Here is a 20215-nt window from a genome sequence, read left to right on the forward strand (position 1 = left end):
AGAGTCCACTTGGGGTCTTCCTGGTCAGGCGTCTTTTCTCTGAGTGATTTGAGGACCATTCCATCCTTTGGCTTCACCATGTTCAAATGTGGTCTCCAAGGTCACACTAAAGGTGTCTTCGTTGCACCCATTCAGAAGAGAAAAGAGCATGTGAGATGTGGTCATTGGAGGGTACTAGACCAGGTTTGAAGTGATGCATATTACGTCTGTCATGTCTCACTGGCCAGTGCTCAAATTATGCCTAATTACAAAGGAGACTGGAAAATGTCATCTAGTTGTATACTCTGGAGGAAGAAAAATTAATTTGGCGAAGATTAAGCAGTCTCTGAACAATAAATAAGCAATATGAAACAGGAATATACTTCTACCATCATTAAGCAGAACACCACTGTCTCAGTGCATTTTGCATTGCTATAAAGGCGTGCCTGAGACTGGGTAATGTATAAAGAAGAAAGGCATATTTGGCTCACAGTTCTGCAGGCTATACAAGAAGTGTGGCACCAACATCTGCTTCTGATGAGGGCCTCAGGCTGCTTCCACTCATGGAGGAAGGTGAAGGGGAGCTGGCATGTGCAGAGATCACATGGAAAGAGAGGAAGCAAGAGAGAGAGTGGGGAGGTGCCAGGCTCCTGTTAGCAACCAGCTCCCTCAGGAACTAAGAGCGAACTTACTCACCATCCCCAACTTCAGGTAGGGCAATAATGTATTCATGAGGGGTCCACCCCTATGACCCAACCACCTCCCATTAGGCCCCACCTCCAACACTGGGGATCAAATTTCAACATGAGGGTTGGAAAGACAAACATCCAAACTTTAGCAACCGCTTTCCCAGCCACACTGGATAAGTGTGGAGTTAGCTCAGTTTTGCAGATTCCTCATTAGTCTTTTGAAGAATAGTTAAGATCAGAGACCTGGATGTGAGACATGGAGTGAAAGGAGATCATTTTGGAGCTTTAAGATTTGACTACCCCACTGGATTTCAGACTTGCATGGGGCCTGTAGCCCCCGTTTGGCGAATTTCTACCATTTGTAACCCGTGTATTTACTCAATACCTGTACCCTAGGTGTATTTACTCAATGCCCGTACCCATTGGATCTAGGAAGTAACTAACTTGCTTTTGATTTTACGGGCTCATAGGCAGAAGGAACTTGTCTTGTCTCACATGAGACTTTGGACTGTGGACTTTCGGGTTAATGCAGAAATGAGCTAAGATTTAGGGGCACAGTTGGAAAGGCATGATTGGTTTTAAAATGTGAGGACATGAGATTTGGGAGGGACCAGGGTAAGAATGATAGGGTTTGGCTGTGTCGCCACCAAATTCTCACCTTGAATTGTAGTAATACCCACACGTCAAGAGTAGGACCAGGTGGAAATAATTTAATCATGGGGGAAGTTTCCCCCAAACTGTTTTCATGGTAGTGAATAAATCTCATGAGATCTGATGGTTTTATAAAGGGGAGTTCCCCTGCACAAGCTCTCTTGCCTGCCACCATGTAAGACATGACTTTGCTCCTCACTCACCTTCCACCATGATTGTGAGGCCTCCCCAGCCATGTAGAACTGTGAGTCAATTAAACCTCTTTTCTTTATAAATTACCCAGTCTTGGGTATGTCTTTATTAGCCACATAAGAACAGACCACTACAATCAGTTTCCCCTGTCTAGCCTGGCAATTGTGGAAACCTAGGCAGAGAATCACAAAGCTGTTAGCAGATCTAAAATTTGAAGAAAAGCTCCCTGACCTCTTTTACAGAATATTAGTTCCTAAACCTCATTAACTTCCTGGAGCACAAATGTGATAGAGCAAGGACTGTGCTTGGGCCTCAAAATATAGCTTTGTGGACATCAGAGTCAATGGCAGGATAAAGTCTCATCTACTCCATAATGTAAAACATGTATAAGTTTGTGAAAAGTACTGTTAAAATGAAAAAGCATGATAAAATTTATTCACAGAAAAACAAGAGAGATTTTATTTTGTTTTTTGTTTTTTTCTGGTAAAATATCACCAAAAAATAGGAAAATATCTGTAGGAGTCGCTCCTGGAGAAAAAAAAAAAAAAACACACAAAACTAGCATGTCCCACAGCTTTTCTTTATTTTTGTTTATTCATTTATTTTTGAGACAGGGTCTCTCACTGTTGCCCATGCTGGAGTGCTGTGATGCAGTCTCGGCTCACTGCAACCTCTGCCTCCCAGGTTCAAGCAATTCTCCTGCCTCAGGCACCTGAGTAGCTGGGATTACAGGCATGCACCACCACATCCAACTGATTTTTGTATTTTTAGTAGAGACAGGGTTTCACCATGTTGGCCAGCCTTGTCTCGAACTCCTGGCTTCAAGCAATCCAACCTTCTTGGCCTCCCAAAGTCCTGGGACTACAGGCGTGAACCACCATGCCCAGCCAGTAAACATTTCTTTAAAAGGGGCATGTTGAGCAATTTCAGTAATACCATGAAAGGATCTGCTAAGCAGGGAGACTTGGGAAGAGTGAGTTGGTAGGATTGTGGCTACCTCTTTAGTGGCTGTAGAAATGTTACTACAGGCATTTCTGTTTTTCTAATCAGTTTTATTTTCTGATGTGTGAGGCAAGGATACATTTTCCCTGCCATCCTAAGACTGGCTTTGCCTTGGGAGATCACAAACCAATCAGAGGGCTCAGTATAATCTCTGCCAGCTCAGAGAGCTTGAGAAAAAAGAAAAGAAAAGAAAGAAAAGGGTTGGTGATATTTCATTAGGCACATAGGCACAGACACTGAGATGGGTAAGAAAGGAGGAAGCAGATCCTCAACGAGTTGTATAAAGAGATGGGCTTGAAAGTCTATGGATTCAGCTGTGAACATGAGACAGCAATGGGGGCATGTGGCTACCAGAAACACAGTGGGTAGATTGGCAGATACAAGACCTACAATAGTGGGTGCATGTGTCTGTAAATATACGTATTCAGTCTTATCAATCCTGCTTCAAATACTGGTTTAGAAAAGAAGAAGACAGAGAAGAGTTCATTGAGAAGGAGACGCATTTGGACAGGTCAAGCTGCGGAATTGGTTTCCTCATTACCCTGCAGTGTGTCTCATTGCTGCTGTGGTCCAAGCTCTGGGTGTCTTCCAGGCTCTCTCTGAGCACCTTGGCCACTGGGGCATCAAGGCTAGTCCTCTTCCTTCCTTTGCCCTTTCTTCCTTTCTGACTTTCACTGCCAGGATCATGGAGGGAGAAGAACTCTGCTTTTTGTTGATGGTTGTTGAGTACTTATTATATGCCTGTCATTGCACCAGACACCAGGGAGCAGTGATGGACAAGACATGAAGATCTCACAGATCTCTGAAATCTCTGTGATCTCTCAGACTGACAGCTTGCAGTCTGATCATCAGAAGCATTTAAGGTACAGAATTACTGTTCATCCCTTAGTCAAAGAGAGCTGGTTTGCCAGGCTCTGGGTGAGGTCTTGGGGTTGACAGAGAAAAAAAGTCACTTGCTCTCACATAGATCCAAGTCAAAACAAACCCTGAGCAACTTTCAATATGAACATGCATTTTAATGTAGACAAATAGATGAAATCATTTTGAGAGTTCTTTCCCATCTTCAAAAACCTATATAGAGGATGACTTCCAAATTCTTTGTTCTTCTCATTTATAGAAGTTTGTTAAAAGTAAAATGTGTTCAAATAAAGTTATAGGACCTTAGGACTTGAATGAATTTTTAAATTGGTAAAGTTCAGAGTACCTGGTTCTTGCCAAGATCATTGAAATAATGGACCACAGAATCAAGCTTAAAATTTAAGCCCTGGACCCCAGGCTTGAGGTTTGTTCATCAAATTATGTTGTCTTCAATAAATTACGACATGCCTGAGTGACACATGTGTGATTTGCATTTTATGGCAAGACCTTCGCCTTTGTTTGTGGCCTAGTTACAGATGCTGTGAAATAGAAAATGATCATCTTTTATAACACAAGTATCAATAGGAAGCCAAATCCTAAACTTCCTGGCAGTCCTTTGATGCTAGATGGAGAGTTTGACTTTGCCTCAGTTATTTTTCCAGTGACACTACAGTGTACTTTAAGCATTTCTCAGTATTTGTCACACACTTGGACTTTTCCCAGTGTTAGAAAGATACGAATTATTGAACATCAGTAAATCACTGCTGTCTTTTGGTTTGGCCTTTTAAAATGAGTAGCCATTCTAAAAGGTGTTGTATTGTAACACTGATTTCATCATTCTCCAGGGAATACTTCAGGATTTTTCATTTAATGTAGTTTTACCTTTTCTTCCAAGAGTGACAATTTAGTGTGCTGCTGGGAGCATGATGAAATAAAATCACAATAACCATGTTGTCATTCCTGGGTTAAGTTGTCAGGGAGGGTCTCAGCAAGACCAGTGGGCCTACCTTTGAAGGGAACCATGCTTTGATTCTTTATCCAGTTACCACACTTCTAGAAAAGAGTGAGAGGGAGCCTGTCAGCATTAGGGACTTTTTAAAAACTGATGATAAACAATAAGACCACAAATTTGAGAAAAGTGATTTCTAATAATGTTCTAATTTTTTTGTAACTGCTCAGGCAGAGAAGAATTAAATATATCAGATGAGGAGTCATAGAATGGAATTGCTGTAGATGCTCTTTTCTTCTTTTCCTCTTGAGCTTTTAAGCATGAAAACATTTCACCTGCTAGGATTAAGCAGACCACTGTGAATGGTGGGATATTGTCAATTTTCTCAGTTTTCTGAGGCATTTAGGAAATTCTGACTTTATCACAACTTATTCTGTTAGAAATAGGCAAACATGAACTTGTCAGAAATGAAATGTGTATTTTTTTTTTTTTTTTTTTTTTTTTGGTGATAAGATCTCACTCTGTCAACCCAGGCTGGAGTGCAATGGTGCGATCTCGGCTCACTGCAGCCTCAACCTCCTGGGCTCAAATTTTCCTCCTACCTCAGCCTCCCAAATAGCTGGGACTAACAGGTTCACCCCACCACACCCAGCTAATGTTTGCATATTTTGTATAGACAGGGTGTTGCCCTGTTGCCCAGGCTGGTCTCTTACTCAAGCAATCACCTGCCTTCGCCTCCCAAAGGGTTGGGATTACAGGTATAAGCCATGGTGCCCAGCCTAAATTACCCACTTTAAATAGTTTAGATCTGAGAGTTTTTATTTTCTTCACAGAAAATAATTTTGAGTAGAGAGTATAGAGATTAAATAAAATAAATGATATATCAGCTAGTAGCTCTAACATGTCTGGAGACAGTACAGAGATCACAGTGAAATAAATGAGATGTGGTTTTTTCTAATGATGACATGCACGTGGTTACAGAAAAAACCTTCACAAGTTTAACAAACACCTTAGTTAGAGTTACCTTTTGCTTTGCCTCTCCCACTTATTAATTCGTTTGTTGTTTTTTTTTTTTTTTTGTCTTTTTTCCCTGAGGTGACCTATTATTTGGGTTAGATGATTTACTGTATATCATTGTATAACTCAAATGGATGATTCAGTAACATTCAAGATTTCAGCCATTAGAGCAAGATGAATGGTAACCAGGAAACTGTTACATGCGTCCTGCATTTTGTTTTAGCTTCTGTCAGTTGGGTACTTTCTACATAATCTCTCTGTGTTTTTATTTTCTCACCACTAAAATGTGGGAATTGAGCTATACAAATTCGGTGGCTTATTTCAGATCTAACTCCACGCTTTTAATTACCATCTTCTTAACAAGCAGTAGTGTTTCTGTTTATTAATTTACAAGTTTTATAACACATGAAACCACTTCAGATATTAAGTAATTTATTTTACATTGATATATCTCCATCCAACCATTTCTCTGTTCTGTTACTTATTTTCAAGATGTTTCCGATCCTATCAATAAATTTAATAGTCTTTTAAAAAGCAGAATAGCCATTATGTTGGTCACTTAACAGTATTTAGTTTGATATCGTATCTCTGTAAATATCTGATATTGGATAATTTCCAAAAATACTTACACCATGATCCACACGTGAGAATAGATCATTAATCCATTAATTAGCTCACACTGGTGAACTAACCAATCTTTATGATATTGTAGTATTGGTTATTCTTAAGAGGACAGAATTATCCTTAATAAATATTTTACTTTTTATGTGAAAAACAATGTATTTTTTTTAACTGAAAGAAAATAGCTTCTCTGGTGTTAACTTACCTAAACTCCTTTGAATGATTTGCCAAGTGACATTTTGAAAATGAACTGACATAAGAAGTAGGTGGGGGATGATGGATATTTTTATTGATGATATGTAAGTAATTTTACTAACCAAGGTGGATTTAAAGGATATTTTAATTGACGATCCTTAAAGTTTGTTTTTCTCAAGATCTTCCAAGAAAATGTAAGCCTCTGACTAACGTAACTCTTAAGTTTTGCTCAGCAATTGCATTGAGAGTGACTTGGACAATTAATTACCCATTTCAACCCCTTATGCCAGGGGTTAGCACCTCAGTGTCTCTGAGGAAGTTTTCTGATTATCTTTTGTGAAGCAGATTTCCTCCACTGTGTGGAAGTTGGCTCTCTTTCAGTCCTTGTAAACTGTCCAAATACATGTCCGTTAAAGACAGACAAGAACAACTCCCCATTTCAGAATAAAGATGAAACCTTTTCTCCATTTCTATATTTGTTTCCATCTTCCTATAAAGAACTTTATTGATCTATGATAATGTAATTCTTAATGGATGTACTGTCACCTCAAAATTAGGAAAGCATTGAAAAGATTCATAATTTTTACTGGAAGTTGATCATCCTTGTGTTCACATAAATAGTGGATTGTTTTTTCCAGATTTGGAGAGATCATGTTTTGAAATAAAATTGAAATTTTGTTCATTTTACCTAGCTGGCAGCACACTGGACCTGACCAATTCATCTTAGTCTGAGCTTAGTATAAATAAACTATCATTTCCACAAGGATAAGGGTGTAAGGGGACTTTATGCTGATATTTTTATATTGACTGTGTTCAGTGACATTTACATTCTGGCTTGGGGAACACTTTTCTTGGAGTCTTTTGGCTGAGCATTTTTTTAAGTTCATCAAATAAATACAAAATGCTGAAACTCCTGTTGCTATTATAGTTTATTCTACGACATTACTATGACTTCTGTGAACAAATATATATTAAATACATACCTAGATGGGGTCTTGTCTTCCTAGAAGAGCATCCAAGGTTGCACTTCTATGTAGGTACTGGAGTTTTTATATTTTCCTTCTGTCATGGTACTCCCGTCTTTTCCATTAGAGCTCAAGAAAGAAAATAGAATAATGATGAAGTGTAATGGAGGGCAGTCACAGAGAAAAAAGAAGTGGAAAACAAAGATTTTTATCTGTAAATCAATGGGGACAGAAAAAAATCACAGCATATTTTAAGAAATTGAAATCACACAAGAGGAACGTATACCACCAAAGGTCTTATCATAGTTATATGCCAACTATCATTGGCATCGTTTCAGTGTAACTTATCACCTGTCTCATAAATAATGAATGGGAACTGAAAATCAGTTGGGTAGGCTTCATGGACATTTTGGTGCAATTAAGTATATGCTTAGGCTCTCGTGGGTGTATACTTAATGCACATGGCCGTGGTCAGAGCATTTGGCTGATCAGCGTCTCGGAGGCATTCTCTCTGTTGTAGGAAAGGCCAGTTCCCAGAACTCCTTCTTGGCATCCACCAAGTCACACTGCAAGACCTTTTTAAAAAAACAGATTTAGGGGGTACAAGTGCATTTTTGTTACATGGATATATTGCATGGTGGTGAAGTCTGGGCTTTTAGTGTGTCCCTCACCCAAATAGTGTACATTGTACCCAGTGGGTAGCTTTTCATTCCTCACCCCCCTCCCACTCTCCCACCCTTTGGAGTCTCCAGTATCTACTATTCCACTCACTACAGGACACTTTATCCACTACTGTTTGTAGACAAAATAAAGTGAATTCATCAACTCTATGACTATTGCCTTTCACCTTACACTACACTGATATGTTTTGCATCAAGAGTAGGACAATACACAGTAATGAAAAAGAATGAAATTGTGTGCTTTGCAGCAACATGGATGCAGCTGGAGGCCATTATCCTAAGTGAATTAATGCAGAAACACAGAATCAAATACCGCATGTTCTCACTTATAAGTGGGAGCTAAACATTGTGTACTCATGGACATAAAGATGAGAACAATAGACACTGAGGATTCCAAAAATTGGGAGGAAAGGAGGGGGCAAGGGCTAAAACATTACCTACTGGGTATATGTTCACTGTTTGGGCAATGAGTTCCATAGAAGCCCAAAACTCAGCATCACGCAATATATCCAGGTAGCAAACCTGCACATGTACCCCTGACTCTAAAATAAAATGAAAATCTCTATAATACTTTAAAAATAAAATAAAAGGGATACTCATTCTTTAAAAAAAAAAAAAGAGTAAGACAAAAGGTCTGAAATGCTCCAAGGTATTGGTTTAAAAATATGAAAGTGGCTAGGCCCACTTGAAGGAATAATTTGATTATATAATAGAAATGACTTTATGTGTTTGATGACTGTTTCTCAGTGTGTAGCGTACAAAAGAGCAGCAGTAGTTTGTGTGATCTGCCTCGTTCGTTCCCCATCGGGTCTATTTCCTTTTGTTCCAAAGCATTTTAAAAGCTGTATTTTCAGTGCAGTTGTCATCTAAGAGTGAGGTAACCAGGGCATATTTAACAAATTGCTTCCTTGATTCTTCACCTGGATGTCTAATACTGTACTCGCCTCAAACTTAAAAAGTCCAAGCCATGTGTGGTGGCTTGCACCTATGGTCCCAGTTACTCAGGAGGCTGAGGCGGGAGGATCACCTGAGCCCGGGAGTTAGAGGTCAGCGTGGCCAACATAGTGAGGCCCTGTCTCTACAAAAAAATTAACAAATTAGCTGGGCCTAGTGACTTGTGCCTGTAGTCGCAGCTACTCGGGAGACTGAAGCGGGATGATCACTTGAGCCCAGGAGTTCAAAGCTGCAGTGAGCTGTGATTGCACCACTGAACTCCAGCATTTGTGACAGAACAAGACCCTATCTCTACAAAAAAAAATGTCAAAACCAAATTCCACATTCTCACAGCCCAAACCTTTCATCTTTCACACCTCCTTTTTCCCAGTTGCTCAGGCTTAAAACTTGGGAGTCACCCTTGTTTCTTCCTCTCCCTCCTGCTGTATTCTTTATTGTAAGAATATAGTATATAACATATATAAAATATGCAAAATCTCTGTTAATCAGCTGTTTGTTACCATTGTGACTTCCAGTGAACAGTAGGCTATTCATAGTTACGTTTTGGGGGAGTCAAAAGTTATATGTGGGTTTTCGATTGATGGAAGGGGCAGGGTTGGCACCCCTAATCCCTGCATTGTTCAAGGTTCAATTGTATATGCCAGGTCTTCCTCCCATTCCAGAATATAAGCTCCTTGATGGCAACCCCTTTTTTGTTGATCCCTCTATTCCTAGCACATAGAACAGCCCCATGCACACAGCAGACACTCAATAAATATGTGCTGAATGACCACACAGTAGACACTCAACAAATATGTGCTAAATGACCTTGCAGATATGCAAGGTGGAAATAATGCAAGGTAGAAAAGTCACTCTGCACATCATCAAACTTCTCAACACTGTACTGTCTTGGGGAGAAAAATGGCTCTGTGAAATACCAAAGGACACGGATTACTTTGTGACTCTTCACTGACACAGGGAGAAAGAAAAGTTCTTCTAGGCTTGCAGGCCATCAAAGACTTCCTGATGTTAATAAGACTGGCACTCAGCTTGGGAGATGGCTAATCTTAAAATTAGGTGCTGGTAAGTAGAAATACTGTCAATCATATGCAAAGACCAGTCAAGCTGTGGGACATGTATTATTTGATCCTAGGGGAAAACTGAGATTTTCATAAGTGTATTTTGGAGGCATTTGCAGCGAAGCGTTGTTTGAAGCTGTTAGAGTGGATGAGTGTCTAAAGATGAAAGTGTAGCTAGCAGGAGGCAGGAACTGGACCTCGGGAAGTAGCTGTGTTTCACAGACAGGGTGAAGGGTCAGTCCATTAAAGGAAACACAGAAGAGAAGACCAGATATGCTGAACACCAGCAAAATAATGAGGTACCAATGGAAGAGAGAATGTTAAAAAGAGAAAATTGTTTCAAATATTGGAGTAAAGTCTTAGCAGAAGACCTTCCAGAAGGCCAATGGACCGGGAACTTAACAGGTCATGGGTAGACTTAGAGAGAGCAACTTAAGTGATGAGGAGTGGAGTGCACTGGATTGAATGAGTTTGAGACAGAGCCTGTGGGAAAGACAGGTGGCTAGTATGGAAAATGTTCATGATGATGGGCAGGAAAAGGACCAATGCATCATAAATGCCTTCAAGGAGCATTACCAGAGTTGAGAGTCTTCACTTCTCAGGGGCAGGATCGAACACGCTGTTTTCGCTCCAGGCACTGAGATTCAGAGGAACCAGGAAGCCCGCTCATGGAATCCCTCCACCTACCCTCCCAGGGAACCTACTGGTTGTAGCCTCATCTTCCTCTCCATCAATGTACCCATGTCCACAGGTCACACTTTGCCACTATTGTCACTTTTAGTGACACAGCTCTACTGTAGACAGCAGGAGAAACAGGCATATTAGGCTGCCACTGACTTTATTGCTTTTTGTGCCATGACAATTTTTCATAACAGTGCAGATTCCGTTGTCTTTAGGCAAAAAATGTCACTCTGCCCAACATCAAACTGTAACTGCTTCACACAGCCCTGTCTCAGGGGGAGAAAAGGAGGGCTCTATAAAATACTGAAAAGCATTTATTCCCTTGCCGCTCTCAATGAACCCATGAATTATGAGTAACAGGGTCAAATGAGAGCACGTTGGAAGCTTAGACTGTAAACAGGTGTCTGCAATCCACAGACTCAACTGATTATGCACCCTAAGAGTTGCCTTAGGGACACTGTTTGTTATTATTCTATTAAAATACATTATTTCATTATTTCTTCTTCATATCAGGTAGCTTTTTTTGTTTGTTTTCCATTTTTGCTTTTCCATACACTAATGATAGTGTGTGAATGTAAAAATGATAGATGAGAACAGTGAATAATTTGTTAATAGGTCTGGAAATAGGCAGGTGTGTGGGGAAGGGGTTATAAGAAAGGAGAATTATCTTCACTGTTTTAAGCTCCCCAGGTTGAGATCATTAGTCTTCTTTGTGTTCGCTTCTCCTTAAGGATGGACAATCCTAGTAAGAATAGCTCAGCAAAATTCCAGTGGGGCCAATGACTGGTTCTGGTTCCATGGAGCCAGGTCACTGCTGCCTTCTTGTTCCCAGCTAGAAAACTCCCAAGAGAAGTTAAGATATCGTCATCATCTCTTTGTTCCTCACATTAAATAGCACAGTGCCAGGCTCCCATTAGCTGCTCAGTTAAGTGTCTGCTGATTTCCCCACTTTATTTAATCAAAGCAGGTTAGCACCAGAAGTTTGTTGGAAATCATCTAGTTCAATGATTCTCAACTTAAACAAGCATGTGAACCTCCTGGGTGATTCAATCACCCAGAACAGTTCTGAGCCTGTTGGTCAGAGTGAAGTCTGAGATTCTGCAATTCTTACAACGTCCAAGTCCAAGGAGATGCCAGCATGCTGGCCCTCAGACCACACTTTGTGTAACAGGGATCTGGTGGAGTGCACCTCCTGCAGGGTCTGCCTATCACTGTGGGTGGGCTGGGGTTCCAGAGCCGTGAGATGATCATAGTTCATTTTCCTACAGCATCAAATATGGTGGAAGATCAAACTATATTTTTTAAAATATTTAAACAAAGATTTATTATGAGGCAGAATACATTTGATTAAAAAATGTGAGAAAAATATAAACTATAAAAAAGTAAGAAATGTAAGAAAAATGTAAGGGATTTTTTTTTTCCAGTTGAGGTTTCCCCTTTCAAGTTACACTTCCAGCTGGCCTCCAGAGGATGCATTTCTTATTTTCTCTTAGGGATAATTTAGAGGAAAAGTTTCAAAAGCACTAATCTAGTCCTAATGAGGAAACGGGGTGCCAGGGAGGCTTAATTAGGTAGTTAGCCTGATTGTAGTACTGATGACAACCACTAACATTTATTGGACTGTTACTATAAGCCAGGCATGGTGCGAAATGCACACACTATTACACTGACTATTCATGAGAGTTTTCTGAAGTTCATACTATTGTTGATCCAATTTTGGATTTGAGGAAATTGAGGCTTAGAGCAGTGGCGTAGTTTACCCCCAAATACACACCTCTCTGACATTAAAGTCCCTGCCATCAGCTACAGTGATTTAGGGCTTCCTGAAGTAGGTACAGCCAGGGCTAGGACCACTGTCTCTCTCCTGTCCAGGACTTGGTCTACAAGATGGCACTGTTTTCCATAAAGTAGCTGAGATAAAGCAGGTTGATGCAATTGGGCAGCCCCTGGTGTTTCCAAAGAGTGTCTTTAAAAATTACAGAAGTGTGCCTCATAGGAATCTGGACAGTGATTCCTTTATTGTTTCTTTCATGATAACAATAAGCAGATTAGCTGTGTTTTCTGTTTAGTAACTAAGCCATGGTTCTAGGCTCATAGAAAATCAATACTTTCTCACAAATATGTACTTTTCCTGCCAAGCAGCCATCAGAATTAAAGGAAAATGATATCTATAATCAGCTGTTACAAATTGCATTACTAGGTGAATAGTTAATGTGTTTCATTCCTTACATAAAAAGAATTTTAAAAGGATAGCATCAGGAGAGTTATGAAGAATGAATTCTCTACTTCTGTGCATTTTGACCCAACTTTCAAGAAGCTTTCCAGAAGCTTCTAGAACTTTCTAGAAGCTTTTGTAGCATTTCCCCACACATATGATACCATTACTTTCATGTTTGTGATGCCAGATATGCACTGAGCTCATCCTGGGACAAGGACAGACATGCCTACTGCCTACGGACATACCCAGTGACCAAGAGCAGCTTCAGGATTAGCGACAGTCCCAGTGGCAGGCCAATTTCTCTTATGCATTATAGCTCTGTTCTATAAAAACAAACTTAGTTCTCTTCTATTCACTATAATGAATCCCTGACATTTCCAAAAATGAGAAATTCTGGATTGTTTCTACTAAGTGAAACTTTGTACAAGTTCAAGTTTGGATGAAGCCAAGCAGCTTTGAAATGATGTAAGCTGACATGACTGATATCATTGGTAGATCCCAGGGTATGCAAAAACCTTGAATTTTATCTCTCTCTCTCCTTCAAGCTAATAACAAACAATTAAGCATGTGCCATAGAAAAAAATATTATCTGAACCACACAGGATTATCACTTTGTATGTTATTTCATGTCGATGGTTGAGAATATGCTAAAGTTTAACATAGTTCATTAACCAAGAAATACAGCAGGAGCTGAAAACATCAGAGTAAGGCTGTTCAAAACACCACTACCCCTGTGAGTGCTTTGCGAATGATCCCATCAAAAGGCTTCTCAGTGCCCTCTGTTGTCCAACAGCAGCAGTAAAACAGTATATCACATTTGGGAGGAAAAGAAGCAGGGGGTCATAGGACCCACTTTACATGTAAATAGCAGGTGTAGTTATTTAGTTTTGTTTTTGTTTTCGAGACAGGGTCTTACTCTGTTGCCCAGGCTGGAGTGCAGTAGCATGATCAAGGCTCAGTGCAGCCTCAACCTCCCTGGGCTTAGGTGATCCTCCCACCTCAGCCTCCCGTGTAGCTGGGACTACAGGTGTGCACCACCACGCCCAGCTAATTTTTGTGTTTTTTGTAGAGATGGGGTTTCACCATGTTACCCAGGCTGGTCTCAAACTCCTGGGCTCAAGTGATCTGCTTGCTTCAGCCTCCCAAAGTGCTGGGATTATAGGCATGAGCCACCTCTCCTAGCTGGATGTAGTTATTTCTAAATCTTAATTTGAGATTTGACTTTGAGGTGCAAGGAAGCTGCCTCACAGAAAAATCTCTCTTCTAGTAAAGCCTAAAATCCACTATATGCAATCTGTGGTCCATGCTAAACTTTGCCATATTCTTTCATTGTTTTAAAATACAAATATCCCTGTAATGGGTAACACAGTGCATTCCTTACATCACAATATAAAATACTCTCAAACCCTTTTTTGGGGGTAACATGGTGAAGGCTCTATTTTCTTAATGAACAAGGAGGTTAGGAAACATTCGCGTGTCTTATCTCCTTTCTAGTTTGGAGTAGGGCAAGACTCCATTGTGCCAGGCTATTTTGATAGTCTGTTATTACAACACAAAAGCCTAACTCCAGGCAATACATTCGGAGACCACTTTCCTTAGAGCACATTCTACAGGTAAATTTAAGTACGTGTCTTCATAGTATTTACTTCCTTGGCTATTGTGGGGAAAAGGAAAAGAATAATTACTTTAAAAATGCAGGGCAAGTAGCTCCACTATCACACTCTTTTCAAAACCATGAATTGGCTTACAAAATTGTTTTTTAAATATGTGTATTTCCCAGGAAAGTATATTATATCAGTATGTTAGGCAAGAGTCCTAGGGAATATTTTCCCTTTTATGAGACAGAGCTGATACGTGGAGCCTTGAATTTCATGAGGTGCCTTCAGCCATCCTCACTGATGTTCGAAGATCTGATCATGTCAAGTTTAATCATAGATGACGTTCTTGAAGATCACCTTTTCCCCTTCATGTGAATTTTATAGTCAGCTACTAAAATCAAGTGTGGAAGGCAGGGGGTAGGTGATCAGGGTGATCAAGTCAAATGATGCAGGCAAGCTAAGAGTATATACCACATTGCCAAGCAGAGCGGGGTTCCACCAAGTGAAGCAGAATAGTGGGTCACCCACCCACCCTCTCAGAACCACCTATTGGAGATCCCGGTAACTGCAGTAAGTCGTGATAGCACGTTTGTCTGAATTTAACTCTGCGGAGGTAGCCCTGGGTATGAGAGCAGACAGACTGGTTTCCTGCCTTTCTAAGACTTGCAAGAATTGCCAAACAAATCAATTTACCACTTAAACTCTGACTCTTGGAGGATTTATAGCCTCCAGCAGCAGAAGGCATTGTGGCAACAGGAGAGAGGCAGCATGTCCCTTCTCAGGGAGCTTTTATCTCTCCTTAGTGATGACAGGTTTATGATTTTACTGTGAAAATCCATGGAATGTGGCTTTACAAAATCGACAGTCTTTTGAGATATTTCCAAGAGCAAAAGCACTGGAAGGTGGGAGCATATTATGAATAGAAGCTGAATAAAACGCAGGAGTGAAGAATGAGATACCATGATCATGAGGAGAAATTGACTTCTTTCCTTCAGTTCATCCCATTGTATCCTCAAAGGTCATTCATTGTGTTTTTTTTTTATTATTATTCATAGTGGACTGCAATGTGGAAGTTGCTCTTTCTGTGGTAGAGAACTGTGGCAGGGTTTTGTTTGACATTTTCTCTTGGGAAATTTTTTAAGTTAGGGCATTTGAGCTACATTGTTTCCGCTCTGTGTAGGCGGAGGTCCTGCCTACCACTTATTACTGTTGCCAGTGACGTCTTCACTTGGATCAGAACTGCCATTTGTTTTTAAGAGAGTTTGTTTTTGCAGTTGGGTTTCAAAAGGAAAGGAGCCGATGATGACTTTGAACTCCATAGAATCTTTCCTGTGCAGTCACATCCCTCCATGGGGCACGTGCAAGTTCATCCCCAAATCCTGCAACTCGGTTCGAGCTAAATGCAGCGCCTTCTTCCTAATCGATGCCGAGGAGGCAGCAGAAGATAGAATTATGATTCTTCAAAATCTTCCCTCGCCTCTCGCATTGACTGTTTTCTGTGTCATTTTGCACTCATATATTTTCCCCTTAATCTGTCTCTGTCCGGCTGTGTCTTGTGCCAGCTCTTTTCTTCTCTTTAAAATGTTCGCTTTTATCACTTCCTGGTATTACTATTTCTACTATTTAGTCTCTGCTAATTCTTCTCAAAGATCATTAACTCATTTCCATCTCCTGTTCTTCCACATTCTGAAACTATCCTCTGCCCGTTTCCTTAACTCTTACATAATTTCCCTTCTGGACCTAAAACAAGTCATAATGACAAGAGTAATAGTTACCCTGTGTTGAAGATTGCTATGTTTCATGACACACTGGGATACCTATTTCACACTTGGCATCTCATTTAATCCCTGCAAATGGGAGGATGGTGTCATGCCCTTTTCATGGATGAAACTCAGTGAGGTTCATTCAGACCGTGAATCACTGGCAGACCTGCTAGTCCAGCGCAGATGACATGACCTCTGGTGTTACCTAAGAGGGATATGTTTTGCTTAATCATGAACTATAACTCATAGGCCTGGAGCTAAGTTCGCCATTTCACTCGGGACCCTTCACTTACCCATATCCACTGAACAGATAAATACCTTTGACTGCAGGTCTATCAGCAAGTACCTATTGAGAATTTATCTGAAGAAGCTTATAACTTAGGTATTATACATAGACAAGTGGAGGATTAAGAGAAGAGGGGAAGAGGGGACAATAGAAGTAGCTAGGAGAGAAAACAAAGTGAGAAGAACTGCCTCCTTCATGCTTTTTTAAAGCCTCTGCTCCAGCTGACCTTTCCTGAAGTCTAGGGCCTTGATAGGAGGCAGGTGGGGTGAATGTGTGTGTGTGTGTGTGTGTGTGTATACACATCTATATATACTCACACATAGGTATATTCTCCTTAGTTACATTTTTTGAGTAATAAAAATATATTGCCATATATATCAGAATATTATTGTAAGAGCTAAATGAACCAGTGTACTTTAAAATGTTTTACGAAGTATAAAACACTCTGCAAAGATTATTATTGGCCTCATTATTTTTATTATTATTAACTGTACTAACATAAAAGCACTTGATTTCCCTTCTTGGTTAGTTCTAAAGAGGTTTGCTTTCACGGTTTCTTCCTGGCATCTTGATAGTTGCAATTTCATTACCACGTTAAAAACGAAACAAAACAAAACAGGAATCTCTCTTGGAGCTTGATTCTGCATTTTGAAAGCTTTTGATTCCCTAGTCTGTGGGGGAACCCAGCCGGCTCAGACACCTTTGGCATAGGTCCACTTCAAACCCTGACTCCACTCCTGGCTGAAAATCCCTGAGAGAAGTTCTGAGATGTCGTAATTAGCCCTCAGCTGCCAGCCTCTAATTCAGTGGCACCTTTTTCCCAGCTTTGAACAACAACTGAAAAACCTCAGAATGTCTGATCTTCCAGTCTCCCGACTGTCTGCTTAAAATTGCTTTGGCCTCATTTGCTTGTGAAGCCACTTGCACTTCCAGGTGTTAAGCAGACCTGCAGTATCCAATGGGATGGAGTTACACAACACACACACACACACACCTGTGGACATCCAGGATGGAGTTACACAACACACACACACCTGTGGACATCCAGGATGGAGTTACACACACACACACACACACACACACCCCTGTGGACATCCAGAGATTGTAATTGTTGAATCTATTGGGAGCAGATGGGTGTGCTTAGGAAAAAATAGGATTGACTGCAGGAATTAAATGGAGAGCAGTAAGTGAATTAGTAGGCCAGATGCATTAGGCCTGCATAGTTGCAAGTCACGTGGCTGGGAGTGTGGGGATGAGCCATACAGGCAGGGCTTCCTCTTGGAGACGAAAGTTACTGTGTTCGCTTTGAGAAACGCACATATTGTAGATATTGTAGAAAACATACACATACCTGCATGCTATCTCTGCTTTCTAAAAAAGAGGTACATTTTAACTTTTTAATTTCTTTTAGTTGTTCAGAATAGGCAATGCTGGCCAATAAGGAGAAATGCTGGAAGAAGAGATAGAGTATCTGGCAATACTAGGTGTACTTCCATTACCTTTCAAGGCGTAAAATTAATAAACTGTTCACAGAAGAATTCCAAAGAAGCGTACATTCTGTTTTGAGAGTAGTACCTGCCGTCATTCCATAGGCTGCACCCAAGCCAGAGAATATTCTACTTGTTCCTGGCTCCACATGAGTTTTGATGGTGATAATAATGAAAATTTCCATTAATATAATTTCTTTATTTGGGGTTGGTATTAGATGATTGCATCCAAAAGCAAAATGTGATGATTTGACAAATATTTTCTTCTGCAGGTTTTGATTGTGAACACAATAAGAACATAAAAGAAATAAAAGTCCTATTTAGGTGGAAGATTATGTGACTTTTTAAACTTTAAAATGCAGTTTCTTTTTACTTCATTAGAGAAAGAAAAGTAGCTCCAACTCCTTAATACATCATTCTAAATAATTCTTCTTCTGGCCTTTTTATTATTGGATTTTCATTTATAGTACTATGGCAAGAATAATGTTTACAGATTGGCACAACCTGAAAAAGTCACCTTGTTTAAAATTGACCTACCATTTAAATATCATCATTTTGGCAATGAACACCTTCTAAACTTATCCTTCTCAATTGTGGGCATTAAGCCCATAAATAGGAATGCTACAGGGGGAATGAAAGGAGGGGTTACTTCCACCAGAAGAGAAGCCTTGGAGAAGTGAATGGAAAATGTTGCCTCTGTTTAGCATGAATGAGCCTGGGATTTAAATAACATTCTCAGGCCAGATAAATAGTTTTTCTTTGGCTTAGTAATCATGCATTGCATTCAGATATTTAAGTGAAATGTTTCTGGCTTTCCTCACTTCATCTTTGATCTTTACATGCTCTGTTAAATTTTAGCTCATCAACTTAATCACATTAAAAATCTCATTTATACCTTTTAGTATATAGAAGAGAAGCAGATTTGCTGTAAGAAACTGAGAGTACATGTAATTGAGTGTTTTTGCTTTGCGCACACACACACACACACACACACACACATACACACACACACGCACACATATCCCAAAATGCTGGGATATTCCAGAGTGATAAAAGAATTTGCTGCTTGGTGGCTGCATCATAAGTCATTATGATTATCTCATTATTCTTTTCTTCCCTCTGTTTCAAGCTGTTCTGCAATGAATATTCATTAGTTATATAAAACATGAAGTTTTTTAAAGAAACATATTCCAAAATTCCTTGGAATTCTTTATCGGTAATCGTCTGCCTTTTTATTTTTTGAAAAACTGGTTGTTTTGACCCCATATCTGACTAGCCCCAAAGTCCCAGTGTTTTGATGGGAGTTCAAATTCCATGGGAGTTCGAGGAAGACAGCCCTAGAGAAAGCTCTCCAGCTCCCTGTGACAAGTCGTAGCTGAAGTCAGATGTGCAGAAAGGAATTGCAATACTTTTTTTTGTTTATCCTCGTATGTGACCTTCAGGCAGAGTAAATCAGTACAGCTCTGATACCACTCAATAAAATGCTAGGTCATTTTATGGACAGGATTAATCTGCAACAGAGAAGGTGGAGATTCATGTTGGACATACGAACAAAGGGAGACAGAGTTTGCCCTAGAATGACACTGTGGGTAAGGGGACAGCTTCATCCTGCCTTAATTACCTGCTGTGTGAACTGTTTTCACTCCTGTGCGAGTGATCTTTCCCAGCTGTAGTACGAGATCAAATCTAACGGAATAAAGATGAGAGTCTCTTATTTGCCACCTAAAATGCCTAGCGATAGTTTTTGCCATATCGATTGGACCAATTCTTCGTGATAAGCCCTACCGCTTCCTATAACTAGAAGTGGATCATGAAGGAAATGCGAGTGAACCACTGATTTTATTCATAATCTCAGGCTTTTCCTGTACTTTCTGTGATAGCCCTCCAAAGAACTGCCCCAATACTTGCATTTCCTAGAAATACACTGTTTGTGAGAATTAAATCAGCACTCTCTTAGAAAACCCATCAGAAACGACTGCTTGTATTGGTGCAGTGGACAAGCAGTTATTGAAAAGGCCTATTTAGAATACTGCTTTTTCCTACTTGTAAAGTCTTGTCAAGTTCCCACTTAAGCACTGCATGTTACTTTTTACAAAAGGAAGAAATGAAGAAGTTGGTGAGTTGATATTTCCCTCACCCTGTCAAAGTCTGGGTCTTTGACTCTGAAGTCCATTTTTTTTTTTTTTTTTTGAGACAGAGTCTTGCTCTGTCACCCAGGCTGGAGTGCATTGGCGCAATCTCGGCTCACTGCAAGCTCCGCCTCCCGGGTTCACACCATTCTCCTGCCTCAGCCTCCCGAGTAGCTGGGACTACAGGCACCCGCCACCACACCCGGCTAGTTTTTTTGTATTTTTAGTAGAGAAGGGGTTTCA

The 20215-nt window shown here is 40.2% G+C and overlaps 1 protein-coding gene across 32 annotated transcripts in view; it reads left to right on the top strand.

Annotated features, from left to right (window-relative positions):
• Positions 1–20215, top strand: part of CHRM3 (cholinergic receptor muscarinic 3) — a 528883-nt gene that overhangs the window by 402437 nt on the left and 106231 nt on the right. The window lies entirely within an intron of this gene.

The sequence above is a fragment of the Homo sapiens genome, chromosome 1 (assembly GCF_000001405.40).
Source record: "Homo sapiens chromosome 1, GRCh38.p14 Primary Assembly".
Classification (NCBI taxonomy): domain Eukaryota; kingdom Metazoa; phylum Chordata; class Mammalia; order Primates; family Hominidae; genus Homo; species Homo sapiens.